The sequence below is a fragment of the Homo sapiens genome, chromosome 4, assembly GCF_000001405.40.
Source record: "Homo sapiens chromosome 4, GRCh38.p14 Primary Assembly".
Classification (NCBI taxonomy): domain Eukaryota; kingdom Metazoa; phylum Chordata; class Mammalia; order Primates; family Hominidae; genus Homo; species Homo sapiens.
In genome coordinates, this window is record NC_000004.12 from 153,613,541 (window position 1) to 153,637,479 (window position 23,939).

At 43.7% G+C, this 23,939-nt stretch overlaps 1 protein-coding gene across 42 annotated transcripts in view; it reads left to right on the plus strand.

Annotated features, from left to right (window-relative positions):
* TMEM131L (transmembrane 131 like) overlaps window positions 1–23,171 on the plus strand; it is a 170,352-nt gene extending 147,181 nt beyond the window's left edge. For 15 of the 42 annotated variants that reach the window (XM_047449899.1, XM_047449917.1, XM_047449900.1 and 12 more), the window contains 10 exons: window positions 7,216–7,340; window positions 8,143–8,309; window positions 9,358–9,543; window positions 12,607–12,685; window positions 14,065–14,147; window positions 14,948–15,004; window positions 19,178–19,298; window positions 20,652–20,740; window positions 21,892–22,031; window positions 22,761–23,171. In XM_047449899.1, the coding sequence (XP_047305855.1) occupies window positions 7,216–7,340; window positions 8,143–8,309; window positions 9,358–9,543; window positions 12,607–12,685; window positions 14,065–14,147; window positions 14,948–15,004; window positions 19,178–19,298; window positions 20,652–20,740; window positions 21,892–22,031; window positions 22,761–23,036 (1,323 nt within the window). In that variant the 3' untranslated portion in view covers window positions 23,037–23,171. Of the gene's footprint in view, window positions 1–7,215; window positions 7,341–8,142; window positions 8,310–9,357; window positions 9,544–11,540; window positions 11,607–12,606; window positions 12,686–14,064; window positions 14,148–14,947; window positions 15,005–19,177; window positions 19,299–20,651; window positions 20,741–21,891; window positions 22,032–22,760 lie in introns of those variants that run through there. The other 27 variants (XM_047449902.1, XM_047449920.1, XM_047449903.1 and 24 more) reach the window with 5 other exon arrangements.
* The last annotated feature ends 768 nt before the right edge of the window (window positions 23,172–23,939 follow it).

A 23,939-nucleotide genomic window follows, 5' to 3' on the forward strand; every position in this document is an offset into this window, starting at 1 on the left:
TTAATATTGTATGTATTGAAGAAATAATTATTTGAAACTTGACAGTTCCCTTGGTTCTACTTTGGTTTATTTTTCTTATGTTAAATTTATATAAAATTGACCCTTACATTTTTAGTTAAAAATTATATATATTCCTAGTGTTATAAATTATTCCCATCATCTGTACTGCCGTTCTTTCATGTGTGTAGGCTCATAGAAAAATACTCACAAATGAGGTTTGCAAAGTAATTAATGGGAGACCCTAGTTATTTCTGAGTGGTGGGATTTTGGATTATTTCTTTTTCCTTCTTTATTTTCTTCTCTTTTATTAAAACTTTATAACAAGCATGAGTTTTTTGATTCAAATAAAGTAGAAATGATACAAAATAAGTATGTTGCAAGCAGTCCAAACTACGAATTTACAGTCTGTTTGGAAAGACAAGAGGTTTCTGTGTAACCAAACACCAAGATTCATAGTAGAGGGGACTTCAGAGATTGAAAAGTCTGTGTAGGCCAGGGTGCCGTGGAAAGCTCCCAGAGGAGGTGGAAACTTGTGCAGGTAGCATGTGGAAGAACAGGGAAGGGAAGATGGGCAGCGGGCAGCACTGAGCCCTGCAGGTAGAGGAACCATTGAGGCATAATTGGGTGCAGTTAGGGAGCCATCCGACTTGGAAGAAGCTACCTTTGGGGAAGTAATGGGAGGGAGGGGTCAGAGTCCTCCTAGGTCGGAAGGCCATTGAATGCTGATTGAAAGTTCAGACTTTCTTCCCTAGGTCTTGATGGGAAGCACAAATGGTGACATAGGCTAAGTGAAAGCAATAGGAAGGTGGTGGTATCCGTAGAGAACTGAATTGTTGCCTGCTAAGGAATTTCAGAATCAAATTTGTTAAAAGCACATTTGGCCAAACAAAAAGTTGTTTTGGAGGATTTGGCCTGACGATTGCTGCTTTGGCACCTTTCTGCAGATTTGGGGGAGCTATTGAAGGTTTCTGAGTTGGTGGGGGGCGGCGGGGTGGACAGTGGTTAACAAATTGAAAGCAACCTGTGGACTGTGATCTTCCTGAATGAAGGTAATAATTGGATGTTGTTCAATTCATTTTTATAAAGACTGTCAGGATGCCTGTTACGTAGAATCAGTGTAGTTGAATAAATGCTTGAATGAATGTGAATATAAGACATTATTGGAAGATCATTCTCAATGTTTTGGCAATTGAATTAGAGAGGGAAGAAGTGGATACCAGCTCTTTTCTAACAAAGAGGCTGTTACTCTGCGGGGAGATATGATGTAATCAAGGCTTACATTTGAGCAGGAGTAAAGGATAGGAAAGTAGATAAGAGACATTTTAGAAGAGAAAACCATCAGGACTTCTTAGCACTAAATGCATACAGGAGAGGAGTCATTTTTTCACATGGCCATTTACAAAAGATAGCTCCAAGGTTCCAAGCCTGGGTGACTAGAATGGGGAATTCTGATGGGGGTGATGAGCTCATTTTTATGTCTGTCAAAGCAATGCTGTTATCACGTTAAGAGCATGCACTTTACAGCCAGGCTTCTTCTGGGTTTGAATCTGCATCATCATGTATTCATTCTATAATATTCGGTTAGTTATTTAACATTGCATTTTTCTCCTTCTGCAAAATAAGGATGATAATTGTATACCTACCTCAAAGAGTTGTGAAGATTAAATGGGCTAATTGAGAATTACCTTAGAATGGCAGCACTTACAAAGTATTGACAAGCAGTAAGTCTCAAAGTGATAGGTATAATAATGATTCCTACCAACAGAGAGGGATGGCTGAACATTGAAGAGAGATGTGTAGTAGACAGTGGGAGGTGGGGAACTAGAGCTTCGGCAACAAGTTAGGCCTGGAGCTTGAGGTTTGGGCGTTACCCATGTGGTGGTTGGACATGGAGTCTGTGAGGTGTGCACAGAGAAAAGGCGAGGGCCTTGAGTTCAAACTTTGGGGAGGAGGCAGTGTTGAATTTGCAGACTGGCTGAGGGTGCAGGTATAGCAAGTATACAAAAAGCTAGGCCTAAAGGTGAGGATAGGGCACACTTTCAGGAGCAGAAATAGTCATTGAATTTGGGATAGGTGGGAATGAATGAAGTTAGGAGTTGAACTTAACATCCTTTTGATATGGGCTTTGGAGTCTTACCTGTTGCCCTGCAATGAAGTAGAAACTGATGCTGCCATGCACTGACTCCAGCAGATACATAGCGTTGTGTGCTGGGAGGAGAGGCTGGAATGGATTATCCCAAGGTCCCTTCAACCTAAGATGGCCCTAAGGAATAATGGTGCTGCCACTGGCCTCCACCTGCCACATGCATGGGTGCCATCGCCTATTTCAAACTCTCCTCCCAGTACTGAAGTCTTCCTGGCTCTCTGTGCCAGGCTTAGCTGTGCCCTTGGTTATGGCAGTTTTCTTAATTTCTTCAAGTTATTTTCTTCTGTGTGTCTTTACCATTAGATCCCTGAGGGCATGGGTCTTGCCGTTTACCTCTGTCCCTAGAGCTCAAGGCGGTTCTTGCTGTCGGTCTCAGTGGTTATATAAGACCCTCCCTCCTTGTTTGGTCTGTAAACCTGTGTAGGACAGACGTCTGCATCTAATGGTGGCATTGGGTTCACAGGAGACAGGCCCATCTGAGGGATGTGGATGGCATAGGCTGTACTTTGTGGCCCAAGGTTGTCCCCAACCAAGTCAACCAAGGTGGATTCTCTGGTGCAGATTTGCGGGCAGTGGTTTGTCATTTCTTTCCTGTCTCTGTGACTCACTCCTTGTTTTGTAGAGCTGTTCTTTAAAATCCCTTGAGTGTATTAATACTTTCCATTTCATTGTTCATTTGGCGAAAATCATTCTTAATAAGTACATTCTCAAGTGCAGTGCCCAGTGTTTGTTTTTCTTGCACATTCTTAGAGCCTAATTTTGCAGCTTACAAAATTGTATAAATCTGTCTGTATAATACACGTGGAACATTCCTCTGGATTTATTGGCAAGGAAGGTTGAAGCCCAGGTTTGGAATCCGCAAACTAAATTTTAACCCTAGCTTTGGCTTTTTATTTTCTTTTAAGCAGACTTTTTTCCCTTAGAAAAGTAATTCATGATTATTATAGAAGCATAAAGAATAAGGTAGAAGAAGATCTATCCAGAATAAACCACTTTTAACATTTTTGTATTCTTTTCTATGCAGATTTTTAAAAACTATTATCTTAAAATAGTTAAGATAATTATTATTGTCTGTAGCTTTGCCATAAGATTATAACTAAATTTTCTATAAAAATTAAATGGGGAGCTTTGTTTTCAGTGGTTACATAACATTTCATCATTTAACTGTGCCATAATTTAAACCATTCTCCTGCAGTTGGACATTAAGATTGTTTCCAACTTTTTACTTTCATAAATAAGTCTGTGATGAACAATTTTGTTCCTCTTACCTGTGTACCTGGTAAGTCTTTGTTATAGATGTCAAAAAATAGAATGAAAGGGTATTGATATGGTTTGTCTGTGTCCCTACCCAAATCTCATCTTGAATTGTAACTTCTACAATTCCCACATGTCATGGGAGGAACCCTATGGGAGGTGGTTGAATTATGGGGGTGGGATTTTCCTGTGCTGTTCTCGTGATAGTAAGTCTCACGAGATCTGATGGTTTTAAAAATGGGAGTTTCCCTGCACAAGCTCCCTTCTCTTGTCTGCTGCCATGTGAGACCTGCCTTTCACCTTCTGCCATGATTGTGAGGCCTCCCTAGCCACATGGAACTGTGAGTCCAGTAAACCTCTTTCTTTTGTAAATTGCCCAGTCTTAGGTATGTCTTTATCAGCAGCGTGAAAACGAACTAATACAGGGATCAACTGTGTAAAGCTCCTATGTGTGCTGACAGATTGCTTTCCAGAAAGTTGGTAACAATTTGTTCACATGTCATGTCTGAGAATGCTACTTTCATTCTCCTCTGTGCGGCAAAAATTGTTTGCAAAATCTTAGTCAGTGTGATAGGTGAGCAGTTGTGTTTTGGTTTTCTTACTAGGGAAAGGTGAGCATTTTCCTTCATTTTTTGTAGAAGGCTGAAAAACACAAAAAAAACTATCCATCCAAAATGCTACCACTGAAAAGAAGTTCTGGAAATGTAGAGGTAAATGTCTAACCTAGTTCTGCTTCCACACTTCAGAGGCAGACACAGTGAACAGGATCCTGCTTCCCCAGCCATTTCCTAGTGCTTATGCATCATAAACACATTTGTGTTTTCTAAAACCAAAATGGAAAGAGGAGACACAAGGTAGTCTATAATTCACCTTTTCTAAAAACATTATTTTATGATGGAATATTTTAGACGAGCTCTTCGTGGTTTTTTTTTTTTTTGCTTTTGCATTTGTTTCATGAATTTATATTTCATGTCCTTTGCCCATTTTTCTTTTGAATGTTTTATTCTCTGTAAGAGCACTTTCTGTGTTAAAGATATCAACTCTATCAAATATTGTGTATCAGAGATTTTTCTTAGTTTGCTAAGAAACTAAGCAAACTTAGTTATTGCTTATTTGATTTTACTTATACACAGTGAGTGGCTTTAAGAATGACTTTTGCAGTAAGTTTGTGATTTCTCTTCTTTGATTTCTTCCTTTGCTTTTAGTAAAGCTTAGGAAATGTTTCTCCACACTGCCATCTGTGAAATCATCACCTCTATCAGAGAGATCAGCAAACGTAACTAGTTCAAATAGTTCAGCTGACGCAGGAGAATCTCTTGAACCCAGGAGTTCAAGACCAGTCTGGGCAACACAGCAAGACCCCATCTCTGCAGAAAATAAAAAAAAAATAGCTGGGCATGGTGGCACTTGCCTGTAGTGTCAGCTACTCAGGAGGCTGAGGTAGGCGGTTGCTTGAGCCTGGGAGGTTGAGGCAGCAGTGAACAATGATTGCCTCACTGCACTCTAGCCTGAGCAACAGAGCAAGACCCTGTCTCCAAAAAAAAAAAAAAAAAACCCACCAAAAAAACCTCCAAATAACTCAATAATAATGATGACGATAACTAAGTCTCATTTAAATGGCTTATGAGATGCTAGGTAATTTAGTCCACACAATGCTTTGAGGATGACTCGGGAAACTGAGGCAGAGAGGCTAAGTAACTTGCCCAAGGTTACACAGCCAGTAATCAAGGCACGAGATTGAAACTAGGCAGTTTAGCCTCCGAGATATACTCCTAATTGCAGCTCCATGTGACTCTTCAGTTTCCTGGTTAGTCCTGTCCTTCTCTCTCTGGGATCCTCTGCACCAGAAAGCAGGCAGGTGGTGCTTTGCTCTTCCTCGGATTTCTTGACAAGTCTGTTGCTGTGTGCTCTGGCTCACTTTCCCTCCCTGTTCTACCTGCTGTCTCCATTGCAGGCCTGTTCTTTCTCAGCCACATCCCTCCTCACTGCCCAGTGCTTCAGAAGGTGCTCCCTGCCACTCTTTCTGGGATATGTCTCACGCCTCTGAATCTAGCTTGTCCTGCATTCCCCTTTTCTTTGTCATACTCACGGAGAACTCTTTGATGCTTCTGGTCACCGAGTCCCGCCTCTCAGTAGTCCTGAATGTACTCACCCTTTCGCTTGCACAGGATGACAGTTCCAACCAGATGGATTTGAGAAAGGCAGCCAAGTATCAGTGACTGCTTACCAGCTCACGCTTTCTCAGACCCCACTGAGAGACTGATTTTTTATTTGTACCTGACCTTGGAGGGATGGATAGGCTCAAGTACTTGCTGTGTCGACAAGCCTTTGCTGGCCCTTGAGTGGACGGGGGTGGGAAACCTCCCCACCAAGTTAGAAAGACACAAAGGAACAATACATGAAGAAATGTGGTGCATGTCTGTTTAACATTAAATCCCGAGTCTGCATATCCTTCAGTTTAGCTTCAAACTTAAGCAATTAGCATAAGGTCCTGTACAATAGGGCTTTGTATGCTTAACTTGTCAGGTTTTTAAAATACCTTCAGAATCAGAAAAAGGTTAATACATACTTATTGGGGGAAACAAAGGTGTATAAAGGAGAAATAAAAAATGTCATAATCCCACTGCCTACGCAGTTACAAATCCCATTTTGCTTCTAGTTTTTATTTACTGTGGTGTGCACATTGCTTTAATAGATGCATAAGGGTTCTAATATCTCAGACATAGAACTTGTAGGTATTGCAGGTTACCTAAAACCTTTTTCTCCTTCCAAGTTATTCGTGTTAGTTGAGTGTATGTTTCAACTTCACAATTCCTACTCTGATTGCTGGGCCAACCTTCTGAAAGAGAAGGTAAAATGAGCCAATCTTTGCTTTCCATGAAGTGTGAATCCTTCAGTCAGTAGGAAGGGGACTCTTCTGGATCTAGGGAATTTGCCTCTGTGAGGTGCCTGGAGAAGATTTATCTTCCTCCTGAAAGGACCTAACACACTGAAGAGTTGTGTCTTTTAAGCCCTTGGGTCTCAGTGTGTGAGCTACCACCACCGCCCACCCACTGACAGTGTCTCTGTTTTAAGAGGGCAACATGTGGAAGGAAGAAGAATAATAAGGATTAGAATATGTTAAAGACTTGAGCTACTTCATAGTTTGAAAGGGCAAAGGGAATCCCTCTCCCGTTGGGTCTGTTAATAGACCATGCCTGACATTGAAAAGAGGAAAAGGCTCCAATTGAGGAAACTATACTTATTTAATACTTATGTATATAATGTTTATGCATCTCATGCTGATGCTTTTCAGAACCACATTTTTGAAACATCAGGCATATTCTTGCCTATTTACCTGAGAAGCTTACACTAGTTTGGAGCATTCTATAGAGATTTGGCTGTTCTCCTAAAGTTCGTCTATAAACAAAAACATAAAGACACAACTTGATCCTAAGTTGAGTTTTTACCTAATTTTTCTTCATAGTACAGTAATTTATGTGAGTTGCACATACCAAATTAACAGGTGAAGGTTGGAGGATTTATTGCTGCAAAGTTAACAGCAAGCTGGTCATAAATTGCTAGCAGATGTTTTTCCTTTTTAGCCTCTTAGGAATTTTATAGGCAACAATTCTTTTTTCTTCTTTTTCTGTGGAGCTTGAGGGAAGTAGCGCAAGAGGGGAAATGAAAACAAACTAGAGGCTGAGCAACATACTTCTCAGTTTTCAACAGCACTGGGACATTCTGAATTCAGATGGAGTTGGTCTTCAAACATTTAAACATGTTTTTATTCATATTTAGTTTAAACCATTAAACATTTACTTTCTCTTCTTTAGCAAGAAGATCCTTATAGGAAGAAAAAGCTTCAGGAGAAAAGAGAAGGAAATTTACAAAATTTAAATTGGAGTAAAAGTCGAACATGTAGAAAGAACAAGAAAAGGGGTGTTGCTCCAGTCTCAAGGTGCGTAATTCTTACTATCTCTAATATTTTGATCTATTTTTCACTTTATAATTTTGCATTTGGCTATTCACTTTTAAACTTATTTCGGTGATATTAGATACCGATAATATGAGAGTGTAAATGTTTATCTCTTAAGATTAAAATACATTTGTAAAATTAACATTTTCCCATTATGTTTTTATTTTGTTAAAAATACCTTAAAGTGACCATTTTGTATCTTTCCTTTATAAAATGCTAACAGATTTGGTAGTTTTTAGGGGAAAAGCATAAGCCATCCCTCCGTGTGGAGACCTTCATTCTGCTTATGAGAGGCAGGGGCATTTGTGGAGCAGGAACTAGAGAAAACCACGGGGCACAGGCAGGCCTCTGCTGTTCCCTGTTCAGCCACTGACCCACCTGCGCTATCTGGGGTCATAATAATGAAACAGAATAGTTACCCCTCAGGTCACCCTTGCTTCAGTCCTGCAGAAGGTAGGTTCTTACAGCTGCAGGAAGTGAGGTACCCAGACAATATGTGGTTTGACAAGCTGGTAAGGGGCAGATCCAGAATTCGAACCCAGGCAGTGTGGCACTCTGTCTTGGAAACCTTGCTTCTTTGAGACACTTAATTTCCCTGACAAAATCATTTTCTTATTGGTATCCCTTTCTGCTCATCATACTCTTCCACCAGACCCAAAGAGAGGAGGACTCCTATTGTCCCAGATTCATATTTTCACCTCTAATAAGTGTCATGGAAAGGAAGTCTGCATGTGTACATGATAAAATACAGATGTGTTTTTTTGTGTGTGTGTGTCTTTTCCAGGCCTCCTGAACAGAGTGATCTAAAGCTTGTGTGCAGTGACTTTGAGAGGTCTGAGCTGAGCAGTGACATCAATGTAAGAAGCTGGTGTATACAGGAAAGCACTAGGGAGGTTTGTAAAGCAGATGCCGAAATTGCAAGCAGTTTACCTGCTGCCCAGAGAGAGGCAGGTATGTAATGATACTGAGCTACAAATGGTGCTTCTGTGGGAATTTTTGTTTCCTCAATGAAGTATCTAATAAGAGAAATGACACCTCAGTGATTTTATCTCTACAGGCAACTTAGCTAATAACTAAAGCCCCAGTGGAAAGCTTTCAGGGTGAGACCAGAAAACTAAGATTTGGTTGAGTCTCAGTAGGCCTCTAGTGCTGCCCCCCAGCCCCCCAGTCTGGCCAGTCGCAACTATCCTCAGGCATATTGCTGAAGGAATGATGCTTGCTTGCTGCAGATAGGTCCCCTTTGGTGAAAGGGGGGAGTAGCCAAGTGAGATAGTGCTACCCCCGTGCCTGAGTCCAGCAGTTCTGCAGAGCCATGCTGCTGCCCCACCCAAGGCCTGCTGGGCAGTGTCCCTGGGAGTGGTAGGCAGAGGGACACCCAGTGCTGAGTCCAGGGTCTGGTACCGGATAGTGGGGGCTAGGGCAGTACATGTGGGGTATGGGGTGGTGGGGGTTGCAACCCTCCCAACCAACACCCACTTTCTCCAGACGCATGCCCCATGTCCCGACACAGGCCAGCACACTTAGCTGGTTTCTATCTCCACCCTCTCTTTTTCATTCCCTTGACACGTGTGTGTTGCTTTTGGTCTTACTGAAGAGTCTTCCCATTCATGTATCAATATTTTGAAACTCTTAGTGGATATCTTATTAAAAGAGAGGGGGAAAATCACCTATGAATCTCTGGTGCAATAGAGTAGCCTCAGTCTTCTTGATATAAGTTATTTGTTAATTCTAGAATCATTATTAGATCATGCTTATGTAGTTGGTGTTGGCCCTCTTAGCCCCTAATTGCTCCTGCCATAGGCAGAGTAGACGGCCCATCCCCTATTATTTCTCAAAGTGCAACCATTAGTTTCCATGAACTCCTCCTTTCTTGCTAGATGAGCAGAGGTAGCTGAAGGTGAACCTGGCCCTACTCCTCCTGTCACCTCTCTCTTTCTGTTAGAAATGCATGAGGTTGACAGTTGTTTCAGGGAAACATGACTCCTTTCACTTCCTCCAGAAGGTTACTACCAGAAGCCTGAGAAGAAATGTGTGGACAAGTTCTGCTCCGATTCCAGCTCTGACTGTGGGAGCTCCTCTGGCAGCGTGCGTGCCAGCCGGGGCAGCTGGGGGAGCTGGAGCAGCACCAGCAGCTCCGACGGGGATAAGAAGCCCATGGTGGACGCCCAGCACTTCCTGCCGGCCGGTGAGTCCTGAGCAGAGCCCCAGGCACTCTCGGTGGCCCTTCCCTCTGCCCTCCCACGTACCCAGTCCACACAGTCTCGATCTGCCTTCAGGAGTGCAGAGGACAGATGGGACAGTGGCCTTGACCTTTGCTTTGGACTTACTCACTTTCTTTTTCTTTCCTCCCTCCCCCTTCCCCTCCATCCTTGTCATAATCATCATCATTGTTTGTTAGTGTCTGTCTTGGAAATAGTTCAGAGAGCTTCTGTATTTAGTTTGTCATTTGTACATTCTTAATGACACCGCATTTGCCATTGTGATGTTTCTTAGGTGTGGACTTCTATGGCACTAAGTGCATCACATTGTGCAGCCATCACAACTGTCCATCTCCAGTATTTTTTATCTTGCAAAACTGAAACTGTACCCATGAAACAATAACTCTGCATTGCTCCCTCCCTGTAACCCCTGCTCACCCCTCTTCTACTTTCTGTGTCTATAAATCTGCCTACTCTGGCTATCTTATGTAAGTGGAATCACACAGTATGGTTTTCTTTTTGTGACTGGATCATTTCAGTTAGCATAATGTCTTCAATGTTCAAAAACATTGTAGCATGTGTCAGCATTTCCTTCCCTTTTATTGCCGGGTAATACTCCATTGTATGTGCAGACACTTGGATGATAACTTTCACCTTTTGGTTTGTTCTAATAATGCTGCTGTGAACATTGGCTGTCCCTTATTTTTGAGAAAGTTTGAGAAAGTTAAAGATGTCGGAGAGGTCACAGAAGCATCTGTGTTTCAGTTACCCAGAACTAACAACTCTTAATTTTGCCATATTTGCTTTTTTTTTTTTAAATCATCTGTTCACTTCTCCCTTCCCAAGAGAATCACTGTTTACTGTCATGAATTTGGTCTGGGTACTTTTAGTCCATTTTAAATTTTACATTCATATATCCATCAACAAAATATTGACTGTTAGTCTTTAACTTACATAAATGAAATCATACTTCAGTGTAGCCTTCTGCATCTTGCTCTTTTCACTCAGTTTTTTTTTTTTTTTAATTATTTATTTTTTTTTTGAGAGAGAGTTGCTCTGTTGCCCCGGCTGGAGTGCAGTGGTGGGATCTCGGCTCACTGCAACCTCCGCCTCTCGGTTTTAAGCGATTCTTGTGCCTCAGCCTCCCAAGTAGCTGGGGTTACAGGCATGTGCCACCATGCCCGTCTAATTTTTGTATTGTTAGTAGAGACGGGGTTTCATCATGTTGCCCAGGCTGGTCTCTAACTCCTGGCCTCAAGTGATCTGCCCGCCTTGGCCTCCCAAAGTGCCGGGATTACAGGCGTGGGCCACTGCGCCCGGCCTACTCAGCATTGTTATTTTTACCTTTACATCTATATGAAGATGTAGTTCCATTCCTTTTAACTGTTGTTTTCAACATAGTAAACTTTTAACTTTAGTAAAAAGAAAGGGTGGTGAGATTGTGCAGTTCCTGTTTGTATGGCACCTTGCATTTGTCAAGCATGCTCATGGGTGCCCACACGCCCCGTGAGAAGGGCAGGGCAGGTGTCCCTGTTCTCACTGTCATCTGAAGACTCAGCCTCAGAGAGGATGCCCGAATCCTTTGACACCATGCAGTCAGTAGCTGAGTCTTGAACCCCGGGCTTCTTCCCCCAGATCCCAGTGCACTTCCCACCTCATCTCCTATTCTCCTCATGGGCTGTTCTACATGATGAACACAAGCCATAGAGAATTTCCTTCAGCAGCCTGCAAGCTGTACTATTTCTTCTCTCTCCCACCAGCAGTGAGACCTTAAAAGAAAGTCTTGTCTGAGAGACTAGTGCAGTAGCAGCCATGAAAACCTAGAGGAAGTGCCCACGTGTACGCGATTCCACTCAGCAGTTCTCCGCGTTTTCAGTTTTCCCTGTCTTGTCTCGCTCAGCCTTTTTAGACATTGTTGTCTTAATGGCCCCGCATAAAATGTTCACAGCACTGATAACGTTCTGTGCATGTGCATCTACCACAGAAGACTGAAGGTTTGCCTGATGATTCCAGTGTGGGATTTTAAAAATGGAGGCCGGGCGCAGTGGCTCACACCTGCAATCCCAGCACTTTGGGAGGCCGAAGCAGACAGATCACTTGAGGTCAGGAGTTCAAGACCAGCTGGCCAACGTAGCAAAACCCCATCTCTACTAAAAATTCAAAAACCAGCTGGGCGTGGTGACGAGCGCCTGCAGTTACAGCCACTGGGAGGCTGAGGCAGGAGGCGGAGGTTGCAGTGAGCCGAGATCGCCACTGCACTCCAGCCTGGGTGACAAAGCGAGACTCTGTCTCGACAAAAAAAAAGGGGGTACATTAGTTAAGAAAAACTACAAGTGTGTCTTTTGCTTGAGGGAAAGGCTAACATTAGTAGAATGATGAAAATTATTAATGGTGTTGCTGTACAGTAGCATAGTATGCAGTCTTCAAGTTGCATTTGAAGGTTATATAATAGTAGGGAAATGTCCCCAGTGTAATAAATGGTGTAAAAAAACAAAAGACAATGTATATGTGAAATATGATTCCAATTTTATACATATACACACACATAAAGGAGACTGTAAAGAACTTTGGGAGGCCGAGGCAGGTGGATCACCTGAGGTCAGGAGTTCAAGATCACCCTGGCCAACATGGCAAAACCCCATCTCTACTAAAAATACAAAAATTAGCTGGGCATGGTGGTGCACACCTGTAATCCCACCTACTTGGGAGGCTGAGGCAGGAGAATTGGTTGAACCCGGGAGGTGGAAGTTGCAGTGTGCCGAGATCACACCATTGCACTCCATCCTGGGCAACAGAGTGAGACTCTGTCTCAAAAAAAACAAAACAACAACAACAAAAAGAGATTGTAAAGAAATATACCTAAATGTTCATAATTGTAGTATAATTGCACGATTCATGTTTAATGTTTAATTAAAAAATGTGAGAATATCAGTTTAAAGTGAAAAATCAGTCATGCATTAATGATATTAATAACCTATGCATTTTAATACCGAATATACAGTTGAAGTGTACTTTTTGAAACTTGTGATAATGTGTTTCTTTTAATGCAGGAGACAGTGTTTCACAAAATGATTTTCCTTCTGAAGCTCCCATCTCCTTGAATCTTTCTCATAACATCTGCAATCCCATGTAAGTTTTTTATTTTCCAGCTTTTACAGTATGTTTTGTGTACTGCTTTTTCTACCAATTATTGTGTTTCTTCTTTGTACTTGGTTCTGCAGGTTAAAATATGAAAACTTTTTAAAGATGCAGGAAAGTAAAATCTGATTTTATTAATTCAGGAGTGGCGCAAGTAAACATGGTTCATGTGGGAGAGGCTCAGGTATCGCTATTTTTTTTCAGACAGGTAGCCACGTTGGAAAATACCTAAGTTTTGAGGCCAGCCGTGGTGGTTCACACTTGTAATCCTAGCACTTTGGGAGGCCAGGGTGGGAGGATCTCTTGAGTCCAGGAGTTCAGGACCAGTCTGGGTAACATAATGAAACTCCATCTCTAAAAAGAATTTCGTTTTTTCTTTTTAAATTAGGCGTAGCGGCGCATGCCTGTATTTCCAGCTACTCGCTGAGGCTAAGGTGGGAGGATCCCTTGATCCCAGGAGATCGAGGCTGCAATGAGCTATGATCACACCACTACACTCTAGCCTGGGTAACAGAGCGAGATCCTGTCTCAGAAAAGAACACCTTATTTCTGAATATAGAAGGAGGAAGCAGTAGTTATTATAAAGATGGGAATCATTTACCCTTTGCTAGGCCTTGAAATAAAACTGAGCATTGATAATTGAGGAAATTTTGCAAGAACCTAGTAGATACATGTTTCCAGTTCTGCCCTATGATGATTTCTGCAGCACTGGACAAAATAAACAAGTACAATTTATTGAGTGAGAGACGAGGAGCGTGGGTAAGAAGGAGGAGAGTTCAGTGTGAGAAATGAACTTGGTTTCTTAGGTACCTCCCTCTTGGTAAGAGGACAAAGGATGCAGTTAAGAGGGTGAGTTTGTGAGGAAGGAAACTTGACTAGTGCACAGGAAAGCTCTTCATGGGTTTATTGGGGGTAGGTTGTCAGCAAAGGAGTAAGAGTTGCTGCTAACTGCTAGCCTAGGCACACTCCCCAGTCAGCCTCCTTCCCTTGGGCCACGCATCTCCCTTCTGTACTTTTCTGTCATCTCTGACTAGGGAAGGTGAACTACCTGGAAATACAGACAGGTGGCTACCTGTCTGAAAATCTACCTGACGGGTAGATTTAAAACCACAGGTTACCTCATAGTTATGTTAGTTAATTTTTTTTGTTGTTGGTTATGACAAGACTTTGCTAGATTTGGGAATTTAATATTCCTCAATTCTTTTCTGGCTGTGTAACTTTACATCCTTTATATCTGTATGTTTCTTCCCCAAGAAACTCTTCCCCAAGACTTCAATTGAGTGAAAACTCAATCAGACGTGGTTATACAATATCAGTATTTCCTCGTGCAGAAAAAATGAGTCGTTCCTCCTTTGCCCTCTTCCCCACAGGACCGTGAATAGTCTCCCACAATACGCAGAGCCTTCCTGTCCCAGCCTTCCTGCCGGGCCCACAGGTGTTGAAGAAGATAAAGGTGAGATGCATTCGTCTTGCTGCAGACATCAGCCAAGGGTTCTGTGCTGTCTGTATTCCTGGCTGATGAGTTTGAGAAGACAGAGCAGGCGGGGTGGGACAGGGCCATTTCCCCACCAGCCCCTTCTGCAAGCCACACGTTCATACATCAGGAAGGCACCTACTCTGTGGACGGGCATCATTGGGGCCCCAGCTGACCTTGTGCATCAATAGTGAGCCCCCTCCCTACAGCTGAGGCACAGATGCCCTATGTCCTGGAATAATCCCAGGCCCCTCACAGCAGACTCCTGATTCATTTAGTTCACCTTCCCTAGTCAGAGATGACAGAAAAGTACAGAAGGTAGATGCGTGGCCCAAGGGAAGGAGGCTGATTGGGGAGTGTGCCTAGGCTGAGGGTGCAGCACCTCACCTGCTTACCACTTTCCCTGGCCTGCTTCCCTTCCTCCCCAACTCACTTTGTGTTAGAAGCCTACTAATTCAGCCTCAGCAGCCTTGGGGACCCGCCTTGCTCAGGCATCAGTGCTGAGACCTTCTGCCTGCGGGGAAGGCAGTTGCCTAGGTGCATGGAAGTAGGAATGGGTGGGAAGGAAACCTCTCCTGCCTGGGGGCTCTGATGGGAGGTGAATTCCAGTCCTCCCTCATTTTTCTTCTCTTTTCCTCCTCTTCTGCCTCTCTTTGTCTTTTGTTTTCTGTTTGATTCTAGGGCTTCTTTCTTGCCTAACGTGGGTCAGGAATTGTGGCAGGATAAACCTGATTTTTATTCTCTGTGTCTTTAATACACATACTTGCTTTTGGTCATAGAATTTAACACTGGATTTAAAAGCTGCTCTGCACATTGGAGAATTTTAACCCTTGAAGGTGAAATACTTTATGTCGTTCCTTGGATGAATTTTGGACTTGTCCAGTTATCAACAGAAATAGCGAACCTAGTGACTAGTCCAGTAAAATAAGTGTTTTCAATTAAAAAAATCTAAAATTAAATAATCCATAGTTTGCAAAGGCAAGATGTGGGGGCGGTTTAGATGGTACTACCTTTTTTTCTGTGAGAGAAAGGTAGGATTTTAATGGTGTGGAAAAATAAAAACTGTCAGAGCATCTACCCTTCAGCATGTGCCGTTCTGCTTTGCTATCAGTTGGAGATATACGTGCGGTTTGGTGTTCTAACCCAGGTTTGTGTGTGTACTTCAAGTGCCTTTACCTTGGCCCCACTGACAGAGTACATCTTGTCTGCAGTCTGTTGCCTGCAAAGCTGTGGGCCCATCACCTTTGTACTCCCTCACCTCCCTCACAGCCGTGTTTTCCTTCTTGCCCAGCTGAAATGGCCTGATCCATTGTTACAGTCATTTCCTCGACTCCTCTCCCTTTATTGCAAAGCCCCAGCCATGGTTTTGCCTAGTGCCCCACCTGCTCCTGTGCAGGCAAGTGAAGCTGGAGAGCAGCATTCCCCATGCCAGCTGCCCCTGTGGATTCCCCACCACCCACTTCACATAGTGCCTGTGTCCTCCCGCCCTGCCCCTCTGTCACCACAGTTCCAAAGCCTCGTGCCTCGTTTACTTGATCTTGCTTCTTGCTTTACTAGAAGAGAGAGAAGTGGTTACAGGCCTTCAGCAAGCTCCCACTGCCCTCTCCACCAGCCCACCATGTCATGCCATTCTCTGCCTCTCTCCTGTTGTAGCCTGAAGAATTGTCAGTGCAGCCCTTCTCTCCAAGGGTATTACTGCAGATTTCCCTTCTGCATCATCAGTTTTTCTCTAATGGGTCATTCTCATCAGCACACAAATCTACTATAATACTTCCCGTCATTAAAAATTCAACAATAGCCAAAGCTCTCTCTTGACTGCCTTCTTCAGTGGCTGCTCTGTTTCTCTGCCCCTGTCATTAGGAGACTCCTTAGAAGAATTATGTGAGTTGCCCATTCAAATTCCTCTCCTCCCTGGAAACCCCTGTAATCTGGCTTTTGCCACCATTGCTCTTTTGAAACCGTGCTGTCGGGGTCCCTGGTGATTTGCACATTGCTGAGTGCTTGGTTAAGTCTTTTCAGTCCCCATATTGGCCTGTGACAGACACTGGACGTTCTATTCTGGCTGGTAGACCTTAGGTTCCTGACCCAGCTTCTCCCCATCTCCCCACCTCATGACCCTGGAGCCCTCCAGAGAGCAGGCCTTGGTGCTGTGCTTTTCTCTGTCTGTGCACACTTTCTTGGTGATCTCATCCACTTTCAAAGGTCTGAGTCTTTCTTTGACCCAGACAACTACCAAATGTATATGCAGGAGACATTCACTCTATTGTGTTGTACTTGAAGCAAACTTGTGCCTGGCCCCAAAGGGAGACACTCTTCCTTCTGAGACTTTGCATAACAAATGCCCTGGGAAAGATAGGTCAGAATAAAGGAGCCAGTGTTGCTTCTCATAAGAAGCACAGAAACCTGAAAGACCCAGGGAGAATTGTCTCACAACATACACACCCCTTATTTCTATGTAGCCCTGGCTTCTGGTAGATTTTCACATGCGTACATCATTCCATAAGCAATTCTTAATCAGACCTAGGGAAGGTGGAACCAATCTGCTTTGTCTGTCTCATACATTTATTAACAGCGGCTGTCCACAGGAGCCTACGCAGCAGGATGAGGCCACTTTGCAGTATTGACCTCAGCCATGCCCTAGAGTCTCAGACCCAACCAGCTGAACAAATCCCACAGACCACCAGGGTCTACCTTAGAGAGCCAGATGGCTTTCTCTTTAAGTTTCTGTGTTGATCTCTCCACTTGGCCAGAGGCATTACTCCAGGTACAGCAGGATGTGTTAGTGATTGCATAGACTGCACCTTGGCCTGCAAGGAGAACATCTGGAGCCATTCTGTCATCTGTAACAACCACGGCCAGTGAGTTGAGGCTGATCCAAATGCCTTCCAGGGACCAGGTGCTGTCTTCAGTCACTTCAGCTAGTATCAGCAAATTCCATACCAGCCATTTCTAACTGGATAGCTCCTTCCTAGTGATTACTGCCCATAGGATGTGCGTGAACCAGTTATCCTTCCAGGAAGCCTACTGTGTGCCCGTTGTGTGATGCTGGAAGTGTTGCCATGTCTGGGGCAATGATGCACCCAGGCAACAACAATGGCAGCCTGGGTGATGCAGACCTGATCAGTATCTTGATTCCAGCTGGCCGCAGTGGAGAACATACCCTTACCAAGGACCTCTATCTTGACTGGCTGTAAGGTTTAATCAGAAGCCAAGATCCATTTTCACATTTCAGAGCCCTGGAGAACAGTGTCTTCAATCTGCCCATCTGTTGCTTCCCAAGTGGCAGACCAAGCACCTAAACCATTGGCAATAGCCTGAGAGTTGTTTACACCTAGCAGGGTTTCTTCAGGGCAGAATTAGCCAGAGCTGTGAGAACCACTTTGGGTTCTGCCCACTGATCAAAATGGTTGTGGTCCTTTTCAGTTCTGCATGGTGGGCATTGAGGTGGGACAGCTGCAGCCTCCCAGTAGATGCTGTCTGATTTCAGCCTGATCCAGCCATCAGTGAGCCAGGCCCAGGCATTTAAGGGAGCCCTTGGGAATTGAGGGCCCACTGAGCCAACAACTTCACTTCAGGTGCAGAGTGGGGGATAAAGTTTCCCTAGAGGGGTACCTGCCATTTTTCCACATAAAGCTGAAATATAGGTGGGGCAAGCCCACTGCATGAGCACCAGCCTCTTTGCATGAGTTCCCCTGAGCCCCATGGGGATATTTAATCACAGAATATCTAATATCTAATATAGGGGTGACTCAGACAGCCCTAGATGGATGCCACACACAGTGGGTTGTGCTACAGGAGAAGAACCCTGAGCTTTGGGACCCCAAAGCTTTTATAATAGGCAACAAGCATGCCTGCCCTTTGCTCCAGAAAGAGACACTATATGTTCCGAGGCTTTTGCTTAGCAAACATCTATGAAAAGATAGTCCAGGAGAAAGGTTGCCAGTGCCTCTGGCAGAAATGGGAGAGATCCCTAGAGACTTGTGTCCAAGAAGTCAACTCTGCTCAAAACCTTCCAGTAGCTTCAAAGTAAATGCCTAAATTCTTCAAGGGGCCCACAGGCTCTGTCTTCTCTGCTCCCAATCCGCTCTCTATAGCCTCATCCCCTACTCTTCCACTTTCCCCTCTCCTTCCTGGCTACACTGATATCCTTGCTGTTTGAACTCCCCAGGCACACCTTGCTTCAGGGCTTTTGTGGTACTGTTTCTGCTGCCTGGAATGTGCTTCCCTGTACCCACTGGACTCACTTCCTCACGTCAATCACGTCTTTGAGGAGCTGTTTTCTCAGTGAGGCCTTTGACCATCCTATCTTAAATCATTGTATTTGGCCAGGCGTGGTGGCTCACGCCTGTAATCCCAACACTTTGGGAGGCCGAGGCAGTGGATCAGTTGAGGCCAGGAGTTTGAGAGCAGCCTGGTCAACATGGTGAAACCCTGTCTCTACTAAAAATATAAAAATTAGCTGGGCATGGTGGTGTGTGCCTATAGTCCCAGTTACGCAGGAGGCTGAGGCATGAGAATCACTTGAACCTGGGAGGTAGAGGTTGCAGTGAACCAAGATGCCACCACTGCACTCCAGCCTGGGCAACAGAGTGAGACCATCCCTCCCCCCACCCAAAAAAAAATGCTGTATTTGCCATCATGGCACGCACATTATCTGGCATGCTACACTTTGTTTGTTGTTTGTCTTTGCTCACTTGAATGTAGCTTGTTCACTGCTGTATCCTCAGTATCTTTAATGGGGCCTTGCAGAAAGTAGTTCCTCAAATATTTGTTATGTGAGTCTCATCTTGTCATCCAGGTCAAGAGACAATCGGACACTGTCTGAAGAAACGGTCAAAACAATATGCTGTATTTCAGAATTATATCCTGAAATTATATTCCGAAAGGAGTTAGTCAGCATGTGTGGGTGACATTAGGGAGTGTTTTCTGGAGGGAAGGGCAGGTGCAGGAAGGGTAGGATGAGGGCCAGGTGAGGATAGGGTGGACTCAGGCCTTGTTCTCTTCCGTAGGTCTTTACTCACCTGGAGACCTGTGGCCCACTCCGCCAGTGTGTGTGACAAGCAGCTTAAACTGCACCCTGGAGAACGGCGTGCCTTGTGTGATTCAGGAGTCGGCCCCGGTTCATAATAGGTACAGCTTCACTTCTCTGATTGGTGCCTTGCTTAGTCTAAGGGCTTGCAGTTGGAATTTGAGTTCAGTTTCTTAGGGTTTCCTTACAAAAATGAAGGCTAGGCTTCTTCCTTGGTGTACTTTAGCTGTGCGTTTCCTTCTGCCTTTTAGAGTTGCACTGGGACTAAACCAGGCATTGAGAGAAACATGAAATAAAAGAAAGAAAGCTGGTGACAGTGTCGTTATTTTTTAAAAACGTCTTTAAAAAAGACGATTTTTTCATATATTAGAGGCAGATTTGAAAAAAAAACACTCATAATTCCTAACTGCTAGCAGAGCAAAGCTGTTCATTTTTCTGTGGCATTATTCTTGAACACGTTTAACGTTGTATTTATTCGTTTGTTTATTTATTTTTTAGAGACAGAGTCTTGCTCTGTCGCCCAGGCTGGAGCGCAGTGGTGCAATTATAGCTCACTGCAGCCTTGAACTCCTGGGTTCAAGCGGTTCTCCTGCCTCAGCCTCTCAAGTAACTGGGACTACAGGTGTGTGCCACCATGCTGGTCTAATTTTTAATTTTTTTTTTTTTTTTTTTGTAGAGACAGGATCTTGCTTTGTTGCCTAGGCTGCTCTTGAACTCTTGGTCTCAAGCTATCCTCCTGCCTTGACCTCCCGAAGTGTTGGTATTATAGGCATGAGCCAATACACCTGGCCCAAATTTAAAGTTTTAAAAGATCAAATAATTTGAATATTGAAAAATAGTTACACAATGGCAGTTTCTCAAATTTGCTATTTGACATTAATATGTCATTCTATTAGGGAGTCTTAAGAAAATGTTAGATATTTAATCACAGAATCCATTTGATGGTTTTCTTGGTTCAGCTTATTACAACAGTATTTCCTATCTCATTTCTATAATAAGAATCTAGGTTGCAATAGGGATCAAAGTATAATGAAGTATAGTCTTTATAGTTATGCTTGTCTAAGATGAATGCTGGTCTTGCTCTGAGTGGACGTTTTTAATGGAACATGTTTAAGTCCTTCAGATGTGCACAAAGACACTTAAAGGTATTCCAGCTGTTCTTTCACAGTGCTGATAAAGCCACGGCTCTCTATTCTGTCTCTAGTTAGACTTAACAAGCATAGTTAAAAACAAGTGTGCTCCTAGTCCAGCCGTCCATCCTGCAGATGGCATGTCACTAGTGATCAGCATTTAGTAAGCCTTTGATTCTGTGACTTGAGAAAGTACATCTTTTATTTTCCAAAATTGGGGAATTCACAGTGATTAGGATGCTAGGCAGTAAAATCATTTTCCATTTTCTTTACTTGATGTCTTGACATCCTGTTTCTGATTAGACCACTTGTTTTTTGTGGCAGTTTCATTGATTGGAGTGCAACATGCGAAGGCCAGTTTTCCAGCGCATACTGTCCATTGGAATTGAACGATTACAATGCCTTTCCAGAAGGTAAGGGCTCTTCAGACAATCCCAACGCCATTATTTTATTCTTAGAAGGTCAAAGCAGGAAGTGTGTGGACTAAGAAGAATCCTTTTAACAGCGAGCAGACTTTGAGAATGAGCTTGCAGTAGACTGCCGAATGGCTTCATGTGGATCCAGTTGTGCACTGATGCCATATATAATTTTATATGACCCTCAAAAAGCCCTCAATTTTGGGTGTCTGGGGGCTTCAAAAATAACCCTAATCCATTTAGTCCTTCCAGTTAGGTAGAACTAGGTCATTTGGATCCATGTAGATGTAACATTGTTGGGTATCCATTGGGAAGCCGGGGCTTTAGCTGCTCGCTCTTCTTTTTAGGCAGTCAAGTCCCATGTGAAATAGAAACATTGGCCTGCTTCCTATTATGTCCTTAACTTCTCTGCCCTTGGGTGGTGCTGCAGAAGGAAGGAAAGAAGCTTGGAGGGGAAATTGTGGAAAATTGCAGATGCTTGGGCTCAAGCATCTGTAATAATAAAAAAATGAGAGCTATGGGATATCCCTGGTCAACTGGAAAATGCTCTATTGTGCACTACTGTTGGATCATGGTTTCTTATACTAGAGCTGCCCTTTCAGGGAAGGGATGTATCATTCTTATCTAGATTTTGATACATGCATTGCTCCATGCTAACCACAAGGGGGTGCTTTGGGAATGTTATGATTGTGAGGGTCTGTGTTCATTATGTTCTTAATGGTATCTAAGGAGTCCTTGGTTTTGGATTGCTGTATCAGCCCAGATGATATATGTGTAGGTCGCTGAGGTTGGCATGACAGGTAATAAAAACATTTTAAAGACTGGCAAGAACCTTGACACTATTTAGATATCTAGTAGTATTTTAATGTATTTTGTGTAATAGAAAGATTCCCATCAAGTGATCAAATAGAGAAAAACAAGCCAGGAGGAAGACCTTCCACATTGAGGGCTTCCCAGGTTGTGTGTCTGATAAAAAGTTTTAATCTTGAGAATGATGTTGCAACGACTCTCCTGGTCCACACGGACCAAGTATTTATGTCTGTAACTTGTCAGTATAGTGAGACCTTGAAAGCTTTTTTGCCTGAGAGTGAGAATTCAGTTCTCAATGAAAATGTTTACCTATGATGATATTCTCCCATTCTTTGTAGAAAACATGAACTATGCCAATGGCTTCCCCTGTCCTGCAGATGTTCAGACAGACTTTATTGATCACAACTCTCAGTCTACCTGGAACACCCCACCCAACATGCCTGCTGCCTGGGGACATGCCAGTTTCATCAGCTCTCCGGTCAGTGTTGCCCATCCTGTGCCGTGAACCCCTGGGCAGCTCTGAATTGTTTCCACTGCTTCCTTAATCCTGGTCTCAGCTAGCTTTAGCGTTGGGTTTGGACCAGCCAAAGCCTGGCTTGCTTCTTTTAGATCACAGAAGCCAGGGCTGGCCACCCTCTGAAGGAAACTGACATGTAATAATTAGATGGGTGGGGTCTTGCAGACATTGACATTCTGGCCACCCCAAATGAAAAACATCCCCAAACACACCAAGCAATGGTCCTTTGTAGATAAAATTGAACATGGGCCAGCCCTCTGTGTGACACAGCTGTCTTTATGTGGACTCACTGATCTTTACTTCACCGATACGAGATGAAAGTCCCAGGAAGGTCAGTGGGTGGTCAGGGTCCCAGAGCTCCCTGCCTGTGAGCACACCCTCCCTGCTCAGAAGCCCGATGGCTTCTCCTTTCACATCCGCTTGACACTTGTTTTTGTTTTTTTCCAGATAAAGGGTATTTGGCCTGTGGGTTCTTCCCCGGGTTGCAAATAAGTTCATCCCATTAGATGAGGATTTCACAATCCTCCCTTTGAGAAAAAATGGAGTTAAAGCAACCCAGATTTAAATTGAGAGTAGTCTAATAACTTCCAAGTAACTTGATAGCATTGTAGTATTCGCTGATGTGTATTCACCTTTCTAAGGCTTTTTTTTTTCTTTTAACTTATTTTTCCTTCCTCATTTATACTTCAGCCCTACCTCACAAGCACCCGAAGCTTGTCTCCAATGTCTGGACTTTTTGGTTCCATCTGGGCCCCGCAAAGCGATGTGTATGAAAATTGCTGCCCCATCAACCCCACCACGGAACATTCGACCCACATGGAAAACCAAGCGGTCGTGTGCAAGGAATACTACCCGGGGTTCAACCCGTTTCGCGCCTATATGAACCTGGACATATGGACTACCACAGCGAATAGGAATGCAAATTTCCCACTGTCTAGAGACTCGAGTTACTGTGGGAATGTGTGAAAATAATTGGATTTTTAAACAATGTGAATAAAGAGGCTTGTGTTTTGATTACTAGTGTAAACTGGTTATTGAGATAGATTATGACATTGGTGGATATTTTGGCACTTTTATATGAAAATAAATTTTTTAATGAAATCTGGGTGCTCTGTTTTTTTTAACTCTTCATAAATCAGTGGTAAAAACAAAGCATCCATATGTCAGAACTTTCAAAAGTCAAGAAGTGTGTCAGGCATGCCGAATGTTTTAAATCTGAACACGGGAGACGTCTTTTTTTTTTTTTTTTTTTTTTTTTTGAGACAGAGTCTCGCTCTGTCGCCCAGGCTAGAGTGCAGTGGTGCGATCTTGGCTCACTGCAACCTCTGCCTCCTGGGTTCAAGCAATTCTCCTGCCTCAGCCTCCTGAGTAGCTGGGATTACAGGCGCACGTGTGCCACCACGTCCAGTTAATAGAGATTTTCAGTAGAGACGAGGTTTCACCCTGTTGGTCAGGCTGGTCTCGAACTCCTGAACAAGGGAGACTTCTAAGAAGGTAGGAGTTGAGCAAGAAATGGCTGCTATGGTTTTCCTCCTCCTGAGCATCACAACCATCTGGGGAGCTTTCAAAAAATGAAGTTGCTCAGCCGTTGAGAACTGCTGGAAAGCCCAGCTTAACAAGTTGTTTGCTTGGGTGGACTCTGCTTGGGGGTGCAGCGGGGGGTTCTTTCCAGTCCTGGTGTGTTGCTGGGATGAAGCAGAGAGCCCTAGAACTGTTCTCTCCATCCCACTTACGGCAAGGGCTGTTCCTCTGTCAGGCCAGTCCTTGGGGGCAATGACAGCAGCAGGAACATTCTGGTAAGTGTGTGGTTTCCCTCCCAGTGAGCAGGCTAACCCTGAGTATAGGAACTTAGGGGAGGTTAGGTGGCTG